This window comes from Homo sapiens, chromosome X (assembly GCF_000001405.40).
Source record: "Homo sapiens chromosome X, GRCh38.p14 Primary Assembly".
In the NCBI taxonomy this organism is placed as follows: Eukaryota; Metazoa; Chordata; class Mammalia; order Primates; family Hominidae; genus Homo; species Homo sapiens.
The window spans coordinates 73,253,442-73,270,579 of NC_000023.11; positions in this window are offsets into that span (position 1 = coordinate 73,253,442).

The following is a 17,138-nucleotide window of genomic DNA, read 5'->3' on the forward strand; positions in this document are numbered from 1 at the left end:
GCCCTATGTATCAGTGATGTTACCAGCTGATTGTTATTGTTTTTGATAGTGTCATGTATATAAGACATCTTTTTTGGTAGGAGTAAGTGTGAGTCAGACCAAATAGTGGCAATGCCCTGGGAAAAGATATTTTCCAAAGAGCTCCTATTCAGATATAATATTGACTATGCTTTGAGTATGAGTTTTTAATAAAGCCCCAAAGGACAGCAGTCTTCTCTGCTGGCCAGAAGGTTGCCTACTTTTCATTGCTACCATGCCACAGAGAGGGGTTGGGGGTGGAGAGGTGGGATGAGTATAGTTCTAAGTTAAAGTGCTACAAATTGGGAAATCAAGTTTAGTCTAAAGCTGACCCCTTACATATTTTAAGTATGGCTTAAAGGTTTCTCTGTACATCATGAACTGTAACAAGTGGAGGTGTAAACAGACTGTAGCTTACACTTGTGCCATTCATTGAGTTTTAGCCAATCATACATAGCCAACTGTTTGAACCATGTTCAAATAAGGCAAATGCTGAGCTGCAACTGTTGCAGGACTTTTCCTTAGTTCAGCTAAAGATGGGGTCCTTGTGCATCTCTGGCCATGAAAATTTAGGCTTGCAGACAGTTTGAAGGATGAGCAAAGCAGAGTTTTGTTGGATGAAAAGGAAGAAAAGGGAGAAACAGAGACTCTTGCTAGGTCAGAGTCCCACTCACAGCTTCCTGCTCGGCTTTTTGAATCCTAATTTTCACACAGGAAGAGGAGGGGCCAGGCTCTTCCTTGTTGAAAAGGGTTCAAACTACCTCAGGCTCCACTCTAGTGTGCAGGCAGGTTGGAGTCTTTCCAGGAACGCCCCCTCCCACCTGGCTGTCTTATTTCTCCCTCTAAAAAAGTACATCTAACTGCCCTTAGATTAAGGATAGGGATGAAGACCCATCTTAACTGCTTCCTGCTGACAGGAGGAGCTGTTTCCAGGAAATGATAGTCAGAGCTTCCTCAGAGGCCTATTTAAGGGTCTCCAGCAGAAGGGGCAATAGTCAGAGGTTCTGGATGCATGGCCGTTTGGAGTTTGATGGCCTGAAGGCAAGAACAGAGAAACCGGGTTATTAGAAAACATGTATCAAAATGAAACAACGGGATGGGTAAGGATAGCTGAAAAATTCCAAGGACTTTTACCAGTTTACACAGGGAGAAGGAGGCCAAAAGCCCAACTGGTTTAAAAAAAAAAAAAAAAACTTTACCCTTTTGCAGGTATGTTGGGCTTCTCAGCTTCCTTCCCCTAAGCTCAATCCTAGGCCAACTAATTGAAGGTTTGGGGAATTATCTCTTTCCAGTTTGGAGGCTGCATCTGAGGGGAGTGTCCCATAGTACAGAGACACAATTATCTATCAGTGAAGAGAGAACCAACGAAAAAAAAAGGAAAAAAGGCTTCTTTTAAAGTAGTCCCAAGGGTTCAGGATGCATTCAAAATGAGTACAGACTAAAAATGAATGGCTACCCATCTATAAAGAGGGGAGAAGGCATCCCTGGTTACCATATCTTCCTAGCAGATACCCAGGGTATGTGAGGGAGAGAGGGAGGAGCATCCTCTTTTCCTCTTACGTCCTTGCATCCCTGAGTCCCAGTGACTTTGGCAGGTGTTGCCATGGGTACCAAAGTGGCTTGCACCCATGAAGCAGGGGGGCTTAGGGGGAGGGAATCATCTACTCTTACTCACATACACCTGATCTCCCCTGCTGTCAGTAGCCTTGGAGTTCCCTAGACCTCATTTATTCCATATATATTAACGTGGCCTTTATCCATGAAACAGGAAGCTTGGGCTTGGCTTAATTGGAATCAGCCACGCTCACCTGTGCTGTGCCTTTTAACTTCTGTTATCATTTGCCTCTGGATCCCTTAGATCCAGTTTTCTTTCCTTGAGCTTTGACCCAAAGCTTGGAATTGAGTCTGGGACAAAAATGTATCTCTTGTGGAGGGGCGCGGGGGTGTTGCATGAACTCCTTACTATAAGCCAAATGCTAAGGTGCAACTGTGGAACTGCATCCTCCTCCAAAAAGGGAGAGAAAAGGATGTCTTGTGACACACCCAGTTAACTGGTGGTTATAGTTATGTATGCTAGAATTTGTGTGCATGGTGCTTGGCTTTGGTTAGCTCCCTCAGTCTGGCTTCCCCAAAAGGGAATCTCCAGGTGATTGGCACCCTATTTATTCCCCAATTATTCCATCGCCTGGCAGGATTTGCAGGATAATTGCTCAGAATTAGAATACTGATCCAGATTTCTACATTACCTATCCCTCTTGTTCTTTCTGAGATGCAGCTAGGGATTGCTGGTTGGTTCACAGGAGCAAGCAGGGTTAGATTAAAATGTACGTGAAAACTTAAATACAACTAGTGAGTTTAGAATTTAATGATAAATGTATGATAAGTTTTGGAACACAATTTCTGTCTCTCTCCAGTCCTCATTTTTGTTAAAAATAAAATCATCATAGGACTGAGTGGTTTACAAAATAGACTTTAGTTTTATACTTGGCCTGATTATTTGCATAAAGTGCAGCAAGAATAATTATTTCTACATAGGCCTTTTGGATTGGCTTTGATGGAATTCTGTTCCACAAGGAATCTCAGAAAAGAACTTTTAAATCTGAGCACAACCATGGGATTGTATCCTCAAACACCTGTGAGTTGGGTGATTCTCTCCTCTTAGGGTCCCAAGATAAATTTGGAGCTCCTAGACCTGCTATAAGGTGGAATTCTTTACTGACCACAGGTTAGAAACCCTGTACAGGGACTGTGTAGATGAGGGTATGAGGCCAGTCTCCCATTGGGCTTTTATCAGCTGCAAGTTGAGATTGACTCCTTAAAGGGAAGCATACCCTTCCAGTCAAAGCCTTGGTAAAATAATGACCTTTTCCAATTGTGTCCTGTTGCCAAAAAAAAAAAAAAAAATATTATTGCACTGATGTAAACAACTGTATTGCCATAAGAATACTCACAAATAGTTTCCAAATTTTACAGAAAACAGGCAGAGAGAGAAACAAACATGTTCCAAATTTTCTTCATAAGAGTATACCTTACTCAATTATTAAAGGCCATAAATAGTTCAAAATAAGTTTCCTTGACTCTGAAAAACAAAACAAAGATTAACAATATTCCAAGGAAAAGTCAAAAAGATTTGCTTCAGTTTCTTAAGTTTAGTCCGTTTAGTTAACTCTTGTTTTGCTTGACATTTGTGAGCATTTCAGCTTTTCATGAGTCCTGTACATTTTCCTTTATTCCAATGTCACAATCTCCAAAATTATCAGAAGCCTTATTGTCTCAAATACAATCAGAAATTGTATTTGGAAGCACTATCAGAGTCTCATAGCTTCTTATAAACCATCTTTTGAAAAGGATTAAAACCAGGCAACTATTGTCTGTTAATAGTAAACTGTCCAAGGTAGTTACAGTTAGAAACACAATTCACAAAGAAGTTTGGTTATCTCTGTGGTTTCAAATAACTTAACAGTCTTAATTACGATTGGTAGCATATACTTAGATGTTAGGAATAAGGCTCAAAATTCTAAGGAAATTGAACACTCAAACAAAGGATTCTTAGCAAAACAATTTTACTTCTGCACAGAGGGTGCCTCCTTGGCCAGTTGCCATGAGAGCACACATGAACAAAGGGGCACAAGAGCCTTTATTCCTGATGCAAGTCCTGCCTCTGTACCCTTTCCCCATTGGCCGGGGTCGGGTTGTACAATTTAAACTAATCCCGGTTGGCTAAACAGTTGATTTTTTTTTTTTTTTTTTTTTTTTTTAGATAGGGTGGACACGTAAAAGAAAGTGGTGAGGAAGGGGAAGGGGTGTTTGTAATGAGCTAGAAAGTTAGTCCTCTTTCCAAATAAGGAAAAGAATGTGAGCTGGTACTGATAACACTTGGTCCTGAGGAGTGCCTGGGCATCTAACAAAGGCAAAAAGGAAAAAGGAGAAAAAGGAGGAAAAGCGGGGAGGGGGTTACTATGAATTAAAGAATAAAAGATTAACCAGATTATTTGAAGAGAAACCTCATCATATCCCACAACTTCCCACTTTCCCTTTTGTTTTAACTCTTTCTAGCATAATTTGGCTCCGTTGTTCTACTTGGTCTTCTAGAAGGAAAAGCCTATTTGAATTAGGGGAGGAAGGATCGTAAGAGATTTTAGTGAGAGCTGTTTCAATAAGTCTTTGTATTAACCCTGGGGCACAGGGTATGATGCAGCATCCTACAAGAATAAGCAACCCTATTCCAATGGCTAGAGAGATGAGGATTGAGGACATAAGTCCCTTCCATCTACCAAACCAATTTCCCATTAAATTTGTGAAGGGATCGTTTAGTCCAGAATTTTTGACTAGTTCATTTGATAAGGCAGTAAGATCTTGTAATGCTTTAGTTATCGTCTCACCAGGAGCAGTGTTATTAGGAATATAAGTACAGCTTTTGGTCCTGATCATGACACAAACTCCACCTTCCTTTGCTAGTGTCATGTCTAATGCTATCCTATTTTCCCAGGCCATTTGACTGGCGGGTCCTAATTGTTCAGCTATTCCTTTAATAGCATCTCTAGTATAATTAATAAATCATTGCTGATTATAATAAATGTAATTTATCCAATCCACATTTTTATTTACAGTTAACCACCAGAAGAACATAGATTCAAATCTGGCAACTATTTGGTTTCGGGCCTTAAATTCATTTGGCACTCCTCTTGGGACCCCAATGGCATCTATATAAACATGAGAATTGAAGGCCCCTTGGAGGGTCTCTCTTGTTTGACAATGTTTGGTTCCCACCCTTTCTGGTTGATGAAATGCCAGGGTGCAAGGGATGGCCAATTGAATTAGAGCACAAATTCCGCTCCAGTTACTTGGCAGAGTGTCCAGTATTGGTCCACCACAATACCACCACATATCTGCTTGAGGATGGCTAAGGGCAGACTGATGGGTAAGCTCTTGGAAGGGCTTAAGCTCACTGCATCCCATTAAGGCTCCAAGGAATGCCAAATTCTCTCCCTGTCATGAGAGACACGAAGTAAAATTGGCATTGGGAGATGGACGCTGAATGGCCCTCAGGGGCTGACCCGCAGGGTGTTTAACTTCAGGGAACAGCAGAAAAAGAGCTTGGCATGATTTGTTACAACAGGCTGAGGGGTCTTGGAAGAGAGCTACCATAAAGCTCATGCCCGATCGGCTGGAAGATCATCCAAGTGGAAAGGGGACAATCTGGGCCTCTGGTCTACCATGCACACAAGCATTATATTACTTTTGTTTAAAGTGCAGATGGAATATTTAATCCATTCCAACCAGGCATTTGCATCTTGATATCCTGTCTCTAGAGCTATAGCTTGCCTTAAGTTTTCTACCTCCACAACTGTTACCTTGGTTGGGTCATTTTGGAGATGGGAGGAGGATGTTGGACTCACTATACTTGGGGAGAGCATTGGGTTCTACGTGTCTCCCAGACTTTGGGTCTGAACTCCTTTATTATTGTTAACCAGTGTTTTAACTAACCTCAGGGAGAAGATTCCTATAGGGTCCTGTCCTTCAACATCTACTCCTAACCCATACCATTAGAATATAGAGGGCTCTTGGGCCATTTTCCAAGGATTATTTATAATCAGCAACAAGAAGTTACAGTGTAATGGCTTACAATTTGGTGGGGTGGGACCATGGACTAGTTGGAGTTTTTGTTTTAGTCCCCATAACGTATTTGAAGCTGGGGGTTTGGCTGTCCACCCTTTGTACTTAGTAGTCCACCGAACATCTGCCCAGTCACCACAGGGACTTTTTAAGGCTCCGTACTTATACCTGCTGGATTCTTCATGGTATGGACATCGATACTTATCAACATGGAATAGCTTCTTTTGAGCTTGCTCATCTCCACACGGGGTGGCTGAACAGACATCAAACTGAAGGGTTAAAGGATGACTAGCCTGAGTTACATCGATGACAAGATGACCTTCTGTTGAAAAGAAAAAAGATACAAACAAGTGACTATTAGGCTCTTTTTAGAGTTACTTTGGTGGGGGTGGGCCCTGGAGTGACAGTCCATGATTCTGGAGGCGGTGGCACCTTCTTGACTCAGGTGTGATGAGCCCATCCTCTTTCCGCTGTCTGGATTGCAGTCTCAGTAGTTAGGAGCACTAGGTAGGGTCCTTCCCTGGCTGGTTCGAGCTTCCCTTCCTTCCACCCTTTGATGAGAACGTGGTCTCTGGGCTGATGCTTATGTGCTGAGAACTCCAAGGGTGGTGCCTGTGCTCGGAGGCCTTTAGTCTTAAGTGAAGAGAAGGTAGGGGATAGACAAAGTATACAATTTTTGAGGAACTGATCTTTTGTTTCAAACGTAGGGATGTCAGGAGTGGAGTATAAGTAGGGCAATCCATAGAGCATTTCATAAGGGAAGAGACCAATATCTCTCTGAGGAGCAGTCTGGATTCTTAACAAAGCAATAGGAAGACATTTAGTCCATGGCAATCGAGTTTCTAAAGCTAACTTAGTTAAGTGGTTTTTTAGAGTCTGGTTCATCCACTCTACTCTTCCTGAGGAGGATGGATGCCAAGGGGTGTGGTATTCTCAATTTATATCTAGTACTTGGGCTAACTTCTTAGTGACATGCGCAGTGAAGTGGGTTCCATTATCTGAGTCAATATTTTCTATTAGTCCAAATCTGGATATGATATTTTCAATTTATGCTTTAACTACATTACCAGCGGTTGCACTTGAGAATGGGTTTGCCTCTACCCAGTGGGTAAAGTGGTCTATTATTACTAATAAGTATTTTAAATGACCAATTGGGGCATTTCAGTGTAATCGATCTGAACACTTTGAAATGGTCTCGACCCTGGAATTCTTCCTCCAAGGGGCGATTTCCTTAGAACCTGTTTATTAGTATTTTTACACATTAAACTACTATCTATAACTTGTTTGGCCAGGGTGTAAATTCCTATACACCCATAAACCCGGAGAACTACATTGCACATTGCTTGGGGTCCCCAATGGGTCCCCTGGAGACCTCCCTCATGAGAAGTTTGGATAACATTTCCCCCTGATCTGTCAATATTCATTTCCCTTCCACATTTTCTTTAGCTCCTATTTTTGTTAACCTCTCTTTTTCAATGGAAGAGAAAATGGGGGTTGCAGTAGGAGAAGGAAGGCATGGAGTTAAATGAAAAACAGGCATTGCGGAAGAAACGGCAACTTGTTTTGCTATCTGATCTGCAAGATTATTTCCCCAACTTGTGAGAGACAAGTCCCCGTGGTGCCCTGGGACATGCACAATATCTATCTCTTCCCGCAATTGGAGATTGTTGAGGACACTAGTAATCAGCTCTCTATGAACTAAAACTTGGCCTCTACTTTTGATAAGACCCCTGTCCATACAAATTTTCCCAAATATGTGTGCCATCCCAAAGGTATACTTAGAGTCAGTATAGATAGTTCCTTCTTGGTTTTGTAAATGTCCTAAAGCTTGGCTGAGTGCAAACAGTTCACACATTTGGGCAGACCAATCATTAGGCAGCCTTCCTGATTCTACTTCTTCAGGAGTCTCTCAGTCAATCACTGAATACCCATTATGTCTTCCCTTCAATCACCCTGGAGGACTAATCTATGAATAAGTGCTACCCTGTCTTGAAGGGAGTTTCTCCTAAGTCTGGTTGAACTTTTATATGATAGTCAATCAAATCTAAACATACATGATCCCGTTTTAAGTTTGGATCCCCTGTTAAAATGCCTGCTGGATTAAGTGAATTATCAGTAGTTAATATTAAATCACATTTTTCCAGTAAGATACCCTCATATTTTAAAATTCTTGAGTAAGTGATCCATCTCCCTGCTTTCTGATTTAATATAGTTCTAACTTGGTGGGGCGTGCTTACTGTTAACTTTCCTCCAAAGGTTAACTTTCTACTTTCTTCAACTAATAGTGCTGTAGCTGCGATGGATTGGGTACACTGGGGCCACCCACAAGTGACTGGGTCTAAGACCTTTGACAAGAAGGCCACGGGCTGTTGGTGGCCTCCATGTTCTTGGGTGAGCACTCCTAGGGCTACCCTGTTGTTTACATTAATGAAAAGGTGAAATGGCTTTTCTAGGGAAGGTAGAACTAGAACAAGGGTGGTTATGAGCATCTCTTTTAATTCCTCAATCTGCTGGATTTCCTGGGAAGTCCACAAGAGATTATCAGGCTTCCACTGGGCAAGTTTCTTACATAGAAGTTTACTTTTTAATGCATATGAGTCAATCCATAAACAACAATATCCAATTAGTCCTAAAAATTTCCTGAGTTTTTGTTTAGTTTGGGGCAGGGGTAGGGAAACAATTTCCTCCACTCTTTCAGGTCCTATTTTTCATTTACCTGCACTGATTAGGTGGCCTAAGTATTTAACTTCAGGTTCTACATACTGAAGTTTCCCTTTTGAGACCCGCAAACTCTCACATTGCAAGTGATTGAGAATGTGTGTAGAGAAGTCACCTACTCCTTTTATGTCTTTACCAGATATAAGAAGATCATCCATGCACTGAAGCAGACGTATTTGTTTAGGGACTGTAACTTTCTCTAGTACTTGTTCTAGGATCTGACCAAAGAGGTTGGGGGAGTCTGTGAACCCCTGGGGCAAGACTGTCCATCGATATTGTTGTCTCTGCCCCGAATAGGGGTCTTCTGACTCAAAAGCAAATGTATCTCGGCTATCCTCAGCCAAGGGGCATGCCTAGAAGGCATCCTTCAGATCTATCACTATAAACCATTGATGATAATATGGAATTTTGCTAAGAATGGTGTAAGAGTTAGGAACACTGGGGTGAGTGGTCTGGACTGTTTGATTAATAGCTCTAAGGTCTTGCATCAATCGATATGACCCATCTGATTTCTTGACAGGCAGGATTGGGGTATTGTAAGGAGACATACAGGGTTCAAGAAGCCCATCTTTAATGAGACCCTCAATTACAGGCTTTAGCCCTACTCTGCCCGTTAAAGAAATGGGGTATTGCTTTCTCCTTACTATTTCCCCAGGGGTTTTTAGTTTGATATATATTGGAGGGATTTGGAGTTTCCCTCTATTTCCTTCCTTTGACCAGATATCAGGATGAATATATTTCTCATCCTCAGCAGCAAGTAAATGTAGTGAAGTGAGGAATCCTTTAGGGCCCACTTGAAGGCCTATGCCTAGATTTAACACTAGGTCCCTTCCTAATAAATTAGTTCCTGCTTCAGGAATTAATAAAAATTGAATATGGGTAAATCGATCTTGATATCTGACTTCTGTGCTTTCTAAAATTTTTGCCTTAAATCCTTCTCCTTCTACCCCAGAGATGAAAAGTTCTTCTGAAGAGCAGGTGAGACCAGGTGGAGGGAAACAGAGGAGCGTGAAGCCCCTGAATCAACTAGAAAGGTGATAAATTCAGGTTTAGACCCCACATCCAAATTTATCAAGGGCTCCTGGTGGGACTCAAAATAAAAGAGGTGGAGCCCCCTGACTCCCCTATTGTTCCTCAAAAGTCATGAGTGTGAAAGTTTCTCTCTCTCTCTCTAGTGCAGGACACTCCCTCTTGAAGTGGCCTGTTTTTCCACATTGGTAACATATATCTTGTCCTTCTCCCTTCTCAGTCTTAGCATTCTCTGCCCTTGCCCCCCTATACCCCTTAGGGGGCTTATTAGTTGAAGACCTCAGCCCTCCAGATGGAGGCTTGGGCCTTCTTAAGAATGATCTAGGCCCCTTATCATCTCTGGCCCCTTGGAAGCCCTGCTTAGAGATATATGGATTTGGAGCCATCTGCTGGAAGGTAGGTAACATAAGTTTTGTCTTTTGTTTTTGTTTTTCCTCATCTCTTCTGACATATACCGTTTGAGCCTCCCTAAGCAGTTCACTCAGGGGACGGTCCTCCCAATTTTCTATTTTTTAAATTTTCTTGAAATGTCTGGCCAACTTTTAGTAACAAAATGAAGTTTTAACATTCCCTGTCCAAGGGGATTTTCCAGATCAAGGCCTGCATATTGTCTCATTTGCTCCCTCAATCTAAGAATCTAGCATGTCCCTCATCTTTTTCCTGTTGAATATCAAATGCTTTAGAAAGATTTCAAGTTCGGGGTACTGATATTCGAATTCCTTTTGTTATTACCTCCCTTAGATCCTGCATGTTTTCCCAGTGATTTGCATTGTTATTGTCCCACTGAGGGTCGTGGGCGGGAAATTCATGGTCCACAGGAGGAACATTTTGACCCGGAGGGTGCTCACGTTCCCAGACTGCCACAGCAGCCCTCCGAATCATACTTCGTTCTTCCCCTGAAAAGAGGATGCCCCTGATGGACATCAACTCAGCCCAAGTGCCTATGTCAGGCCTTAAAAATTGATCAATTTGATCTGCTACTCCATAAGGGTCATCCAGTAATGGCTTAAGCTCCTTTTTTAAATTCCGGACCTCTGAACTAGTTAAGGGAGCGTTTACAAAGCCAACAGCCCCTCTGCCTTGCGGTACCTCTCTAAAAGGAAAGAAAGTTGGATCTGTCTCTTTGGGTGTAGAGGGAAATACAAAGTTTTGAATATCTTTTTTTACATTGCTCTATTTCACATTGAAGCCCCTTTAAAGATAGATTGGGAGGGGGCAGGCTCACATGACGGTAATTCTGCAGAGTCGGTATTATAAGGGGGGGGGAGGGTGAAATATGAGCAGAAGTATCACAAGCAAAGGAGGGATCCACAGCAGCAGCTGGGAGAATCGAACAGGCTGAGGCGCTGCCTGAAACAGCTGGGAAGTAACCCACAACGGGAGCCAGGGGGACGGCACACGCTGGGGCGTGACCTGACACGGGGACAGGAGGGGAGTGTTAATTTATTAATTGGATTACTGGCTTCAAGATGGAGCTCTTCAAGGAAGAAGGCCAGGAAGACTTGCACTTTCTAGAGCCTAATAAGCAGGCACAACTGGAAGGCAAAACAGATTCCCAATCAGTGTCCCATTTTCATACTGGATCCTGTATTCCCAAAAGAGAAACTCTATGGAACACGACAGTGCAATAATTTTACTGTGTATTTTATTGCAAAGTAACCCAAAGCCAATTAGCCCACTTTGTGATCAGCACATCCTCCCATGGGAGTCATCTCTCAGCAGACGGTGGGGACATTTCCATATTTTCTAGGCGGCAAAGTGCATGCTTCTCTAATCCAAATGTGCAAAGAGTTGAGTATTCACCCATAATTGCCATTTGCTATCCCTAAAAGTATATTTAGCCTTAGAGTTTGAAAGAAATGTATCTGCTTTAAATTCCTTGAGTTTCATGAGGAAAACAGGCTTTTCCCAAAATGGGGTCTGTGACACCTCCTCTATTTTTCCCAAGGAATCTCAGGCACACATACGGATTGCAGCACTATTCTCAATAGCAAAGAGATGGAATCAACCTAAATGCCCATTGGTGATAGACTGGATAAAGAAAATGTGGTTCATATACACCTTGGAATACTATGCAGCCATAAAAAACAATTTAATGTCCATTGCAGCAACATGGATAGAGCTTGAGGCCATTATTCTTAGCAAATTAATGTAGGAATAGAAAACCAAATACTGCATGTTCTCACTTGTAAGTGGGAGCTAAATGATGAGAAAATATGGACACATAGAGTAGAACAACACACACTGGAGGCTTTCAGAGGGTGGGGGGTGGGAGGAGGAAGAAGATCAGGAAAAATAACTACTGTGTACTAGGCTTAATACCTGGGTGATGAAATAATCTGTATAACAAACTCCCATGACACAAGTTTACCTATGTAACAAACCTGCACTTGTATCCTTGAACATAAAAGTTAAAAAAGGTAAAAATAAATAAAATAGAAACAAATATATAATAGAGGAAATAAGCAAATATTTCATTTAAAACAATTGATAAAGCAAAATTTAAATAAAATGCAAATTATCAAAACTATGAATAAAAAAGTGATCACCCTTAGTGATTCTACATTTAAAAATATAATAGAATACTATAAACAGCAGTATGCAAACAAATCCAATATCTAAGATTAAGTGGATAAATTTTTTGAAAAAAATAACAAAAGAAAACATACTAATCTGAATAGTCTTTGAATAAACTGAATTCCTTGTTATACATTATCCTATAAAGATAATTTCAAATCAAGATGGCTTAGCTGGTAAAGTTTTTCAAATACTTAAATAATAAATATTACCAATGTTATACAAAATTTTCCAGAGAATATACATCATATAGTTCCTAAATTGTTTTATAAAACCAGCATAACTTTGATCTGAAAATAGGACTGTTACACTGTGAGAAGATCATTTAAAACTAATGTAGATCATGAATATAGATATAAAATTCTAAACAAAATAGAGGCTGGTAGTATACAGAGATATATAAAAATTACTGTATTTCATATCCCTGTGAAATTTAGTCCAGAAATATGATTGCTTTAAAAGTTCAATAATCAATATAATTCACATAATAAGGAAATAAAGATGAGAAAATGTATTTGGTATAACTCAATACATATGCATAATTTTTTTTAAATTTTGAAAACATTGTGGCAAAAGGGAACTCCATTAAGAGCAGAATATATTTGAAACCTTTGTAGATAACAGAAACTCCATGTGAAAATATTAAATGAATTGATATACAGTTTCAAAACACAAGAAGGTTGTCCACTCGCACCACATTAATTCATTAGTGCAATGAAGGTCTTAAGCAGTGCAATAAGCAATAAAAAGTCATAAAAGGTACAATGATTGTAAAAGAAAACAAAAATCTGCCATTATTCAAGTGACAAAATTGGGTACATGTAAAGTCCAAAATAATCTCTGAGCAGATTATGAAAATTAATGTCAAGTTAGTATGATTCTTGAACCACAATTAGTATACAAAAATTAGTGCAGAAGTTTTATTTTTTTTTCAAGACGGCAGATTGGAGGCATTATTAACATGCCTCCCCAACTTGGAAAGGCAAAATAGTATATAGAGATTCACACTGTGAACTTTTTTCCAAGAAGCATTGCAGGAACTCTACAGGAAAGCTGAAAGAAGCTACAAACCTTTTGAAAGGAGCAACAGGCTGCAGCTTACACAATGAGCCAGGCAGAAAACTTTAGGTTCCCAGAGTGTGAGAGAGGGATAAACTGCCTGTATGATACACATTCCCATCAGAAAACCTACCAATCCAGGCCACTGGGGAAGATTTGAACCCTACTCAGCACTGGAACTGATTTAGGGAACAGTGGGGAAAATAAAAGTTGGAGCAGTGAGAAGAGGCTTGCTTCCATTCCCAGTCTCTAGTGTAGATGAAGGGGGCCATTTCTGATTCTACCTCACAGGGGACTCTGCAGAATTCTGCCAGCTAACTCAAGTGGTGGTCACAGGTTGAGGGAAACCCTCAACTGAGATTCATGACATAATTTTGAGTGGGGATGAACTCCTTTGGCCAGAACTGGGAGGCAAATGGGAAGTGGGCTGCAGCTGCAAGTGCAGGAGCTGGATGCCCTGGCTAGATGGGCAGACCAGGAGGGGTGTGGTCTGAAAGCTGCGGTTGCTCTGTGGAAAGGCTTATGGTCTGGGGCAGTTTTGCATTCTGAGTGCAGACTTCCTGGAAATTAGCTAGCTGCTGCTAGTGGAATACTGTAGGTGTGAGACCTGAGTTGCCAAGTGTCTGGGAGCTGAGTGGGGCTTACTGCCACCTGCTACTCACCACCCCATGTACGAACTCTTCTGTGCAACAAAGACCATTTTGCTCCTCCGTGGAATATTACCCAAATTTCCAGAGAACTGTCAACCAATATTCACTGGGGCCATTGCTTGCCCTGCACATGGAGAGCCAGAGCACAAATTTGTCTGACCCAGGTTCCACTTGGCTTTGCTCCTCTACCTGATCTGGTAGTTTAACACAAAGGACAGAAACTTTTGGGACTTCTAGGGCCCCACCCATTGCCTGAGTCACCAGAGTACCTCCTCATGGTAACATAAGGCAGGCACAAGTCTCACTACTACCACTGTGGCTGGCACTCTTTTGCAGAAGCCATCTCCTGGCTTGGGGCCAATTGACACAGTCCATTACAGAATCTCCAGGTAGAATACTACAGCACCCAGGAAGGAGAAAACCTGATAGCATAGCCTCAGCTATCACCATTGCCTGCAGCACCATGGTTAATCAGGAGTATGTCCACATGAGTTTATTACTACTACAACCAGCATTTGATAAACCCAATACACTAAAGCTATTTATAACCAGATAATTTCACATCACTCTCCCACTACACCCATTGGAGCTGGTGCTGGTACCTGCTGCTGAGAGACTTGAGGAAAAGTCACATCACTGAATCCCTTGCCAACATTTTCCAACACCAGCCTGGAGTATGGCAGCTCCACTGGGCAGCTAGAACCAGGGGAACAGCAGCATTTACAGGAGTCTGGCTCTCAGGGACTCCTACTCCTAGGGGAAGGGAGAGTGCACCACATGCCTGTGAGACAAAAGAATTTAGATGGCAGGGCTTGAGTCCCATAACTTTCTGCTTGTGGGAAGTGTCTTTCAGCAGAATTACAGGTGCAGTGCTGGGCTCAGTAGGGAAAATCTGTAGCTCTACCCCAACATTCAGGCAGCCCTGCTGCTCATGAAGATTTTTGGAGAAGGGAACATTTGTTCCCCTTGTCCACTACTGCAGACACAGCTGGGGCTTCTCACATGCAAGCTCAGCAGGGGTACACCTATAGACAGCCTTTCTGGAGCACTTCAGAGTGACTGCATTCCCACAGGAGGAGTGCCTTTCAGGTTCAGGCTTGCATAAAAAGTAGAGTCACAATACCTCCCTATTTGAAACATCAACCTCATTGCAGATGAAAAGATGTGCCTCTCTGATTTGAATAGCCTGGACACTGGGTCAAGAGTGTGACTAGGAGGTGGACCACTTTCCTGCTGGCTTGGCAGAGGTGTTGAGGTTGCTCCCTCCTTTCACCCGGAGAAGACCTCAGTGTGTTTCACTGAGAGCTCCCCCAGCCACCTATGTCAAAGTTGGGACTTTCTGCATGTGGGAAGTTTCTTTCAGCAGAAGTACAGATGCAGTGCTGGGCTCAGTCTGAAAAGTTATGTGGCTCTACCTCAACAGTCTGACAGCACTGGTGTTTGTGAAGGGTATTGGAGAAGCTGGGGCTTCTCCCATGGGAGCTCGACATGGGTGAACATGTAGACAGCCTTTCTGGAACACTTCAGGGTGATGAAATCCCCAAAGGAGGAATGTCCCTCCATGTTTAGACATGCTCTAGGAGTAGAACCACAATCCCTCTTTACATTGAACAACAGCATTCTTGCTCATGAAAAGAGGTGCCTGTCTGATCTGAATAGCTGGAATACTGTGACAGGAGTGTAACTGGGAGGCAGATTGTTTTCCTGCTGGCCTTTCAGGAGAGCTGAGGTGGTTCCCTCACTTCCCTATGAAAGGACCTCAGTGTGATTAACTGGGAGCTCCCCCAGCCACCTCTGTCTGTCAGGTTGGGACCTCTGCTCACCACTGAGTATTGCATTTACCCACCTGCTTTAGCCACCACTGGTTTCTAACCAGGGATACCACTCTCATTCCTCTGAAGCCTGAACTATTCAACCTGGAAACAAAATACCGGGGAAAAAATAAATTTTTTAAAAAGTGCACGCTCTGAGGGAACAAGATAAGCTTCAAAAGACCTCTTTCATTTCAAAGTCATAGGAGACAGTAAATTTGCTTGCACACAGCACATTGCTACTACAAACAGGATTTAAGAAAGCCATGGTACATGGACTCTCTATAACCAAGGAACTCATGTAGAGCCTTCATCTCTGAAAGCAAAAAGAGCCAAAAAAGGCTGCAATAAACTATAAACATTAAAATTATATCATTAAGGGGGAAAAAGAAATTTTAAAAAGCCACATGGTCAAATCAAAAATAAATTCAAGACTAATTAGAAGAAATAGTCTACCCAAATGAGAAACAGACAAATAATTCTGGCCATATTACAAAACAGTGTTCTAGAATACTTGCAAAAGATCACACTATCTCACCATCAATGGATTCAAACCAAAATAAAATCCTTTAAATACAAGATAAGTAATTCCAAATGTTGATTATTAAGCTATTCAAAAATATACACGAGAAAGGTGAAAACTAACATAAAGATACTTTTTAGGAATTCAGGATATGAGTAAATATAATCTAAAAAGATAGATATTTTAAAGAAAAACCAATCAGAACTTTTGGAAATGAAAAACACATTTAGGGAATTACAAAATGAAGTGGAATATTTCAACATTAGACTAGACTTAGTAAAAGAAAGAATTTCAGAGCTCAAAGACAAGACTTTTGAATTGACTTAATCAGACAAAAATAAAGAAGAAAGAATCAAAAGAAATGAACAAAGTATCCTAGAAATATAGGATTATGTAAAATAGCCAAACTTAAGAATAATTGGTGTTACTGAGGGAGAAGAGAAAGCAAAAATTTGGAAAACGCATTTGATGGAATAATTGAGGAAAACTTTCCTAGCCTTTCTAGAGGTTTAGCTATCCAAATATAAGAAGTTTAAAGAAAATCTCAGAGATTCCTTGCAAAAAGAACATCACCAACTCATGTAGTCATCAGGCTATCTAAAATCAAAGTGTAGAAAAGAATTCTAAGAGCAGTGAGACAAAAACATCAGGAAACCTCTAAAGGAAATCCTATCAGACTAACAGTAGGCTTCTCAGCAGAAATGTTACAAGTCAGAAGAGATTTGGGTACTATATTTAACCTCTTTAAACACAACAATTGTCAGTCAAGATTTTTGTATCCTGTAAATTAAGTTTTATAAATGAAGAAGAAATAAAGCATTTTTCAGACAAACAAATGCTGAGACAACTTGTCAGTACCAGACCAGCCCTATAAGAAATGATAAAAGGAGTGCTAAATCTTGAAACAAAAGGTTAATATGCACCAGAATACAACCTCTTAAAATCATAAAACTCTTAGGTTCTATAAAACTATAACAATGAAAAAACAACATGTAAAGATAAAAATCAACATAACAACTGGAACAATATCTCATATCTCAATATTAATGTTGAACGCAAATGGCCTAAATGCTTCACTTAAAAGATGCAGATTGACAGAGTGGATTAAAAAAAAACACAAACCAAATATCTGTTGTC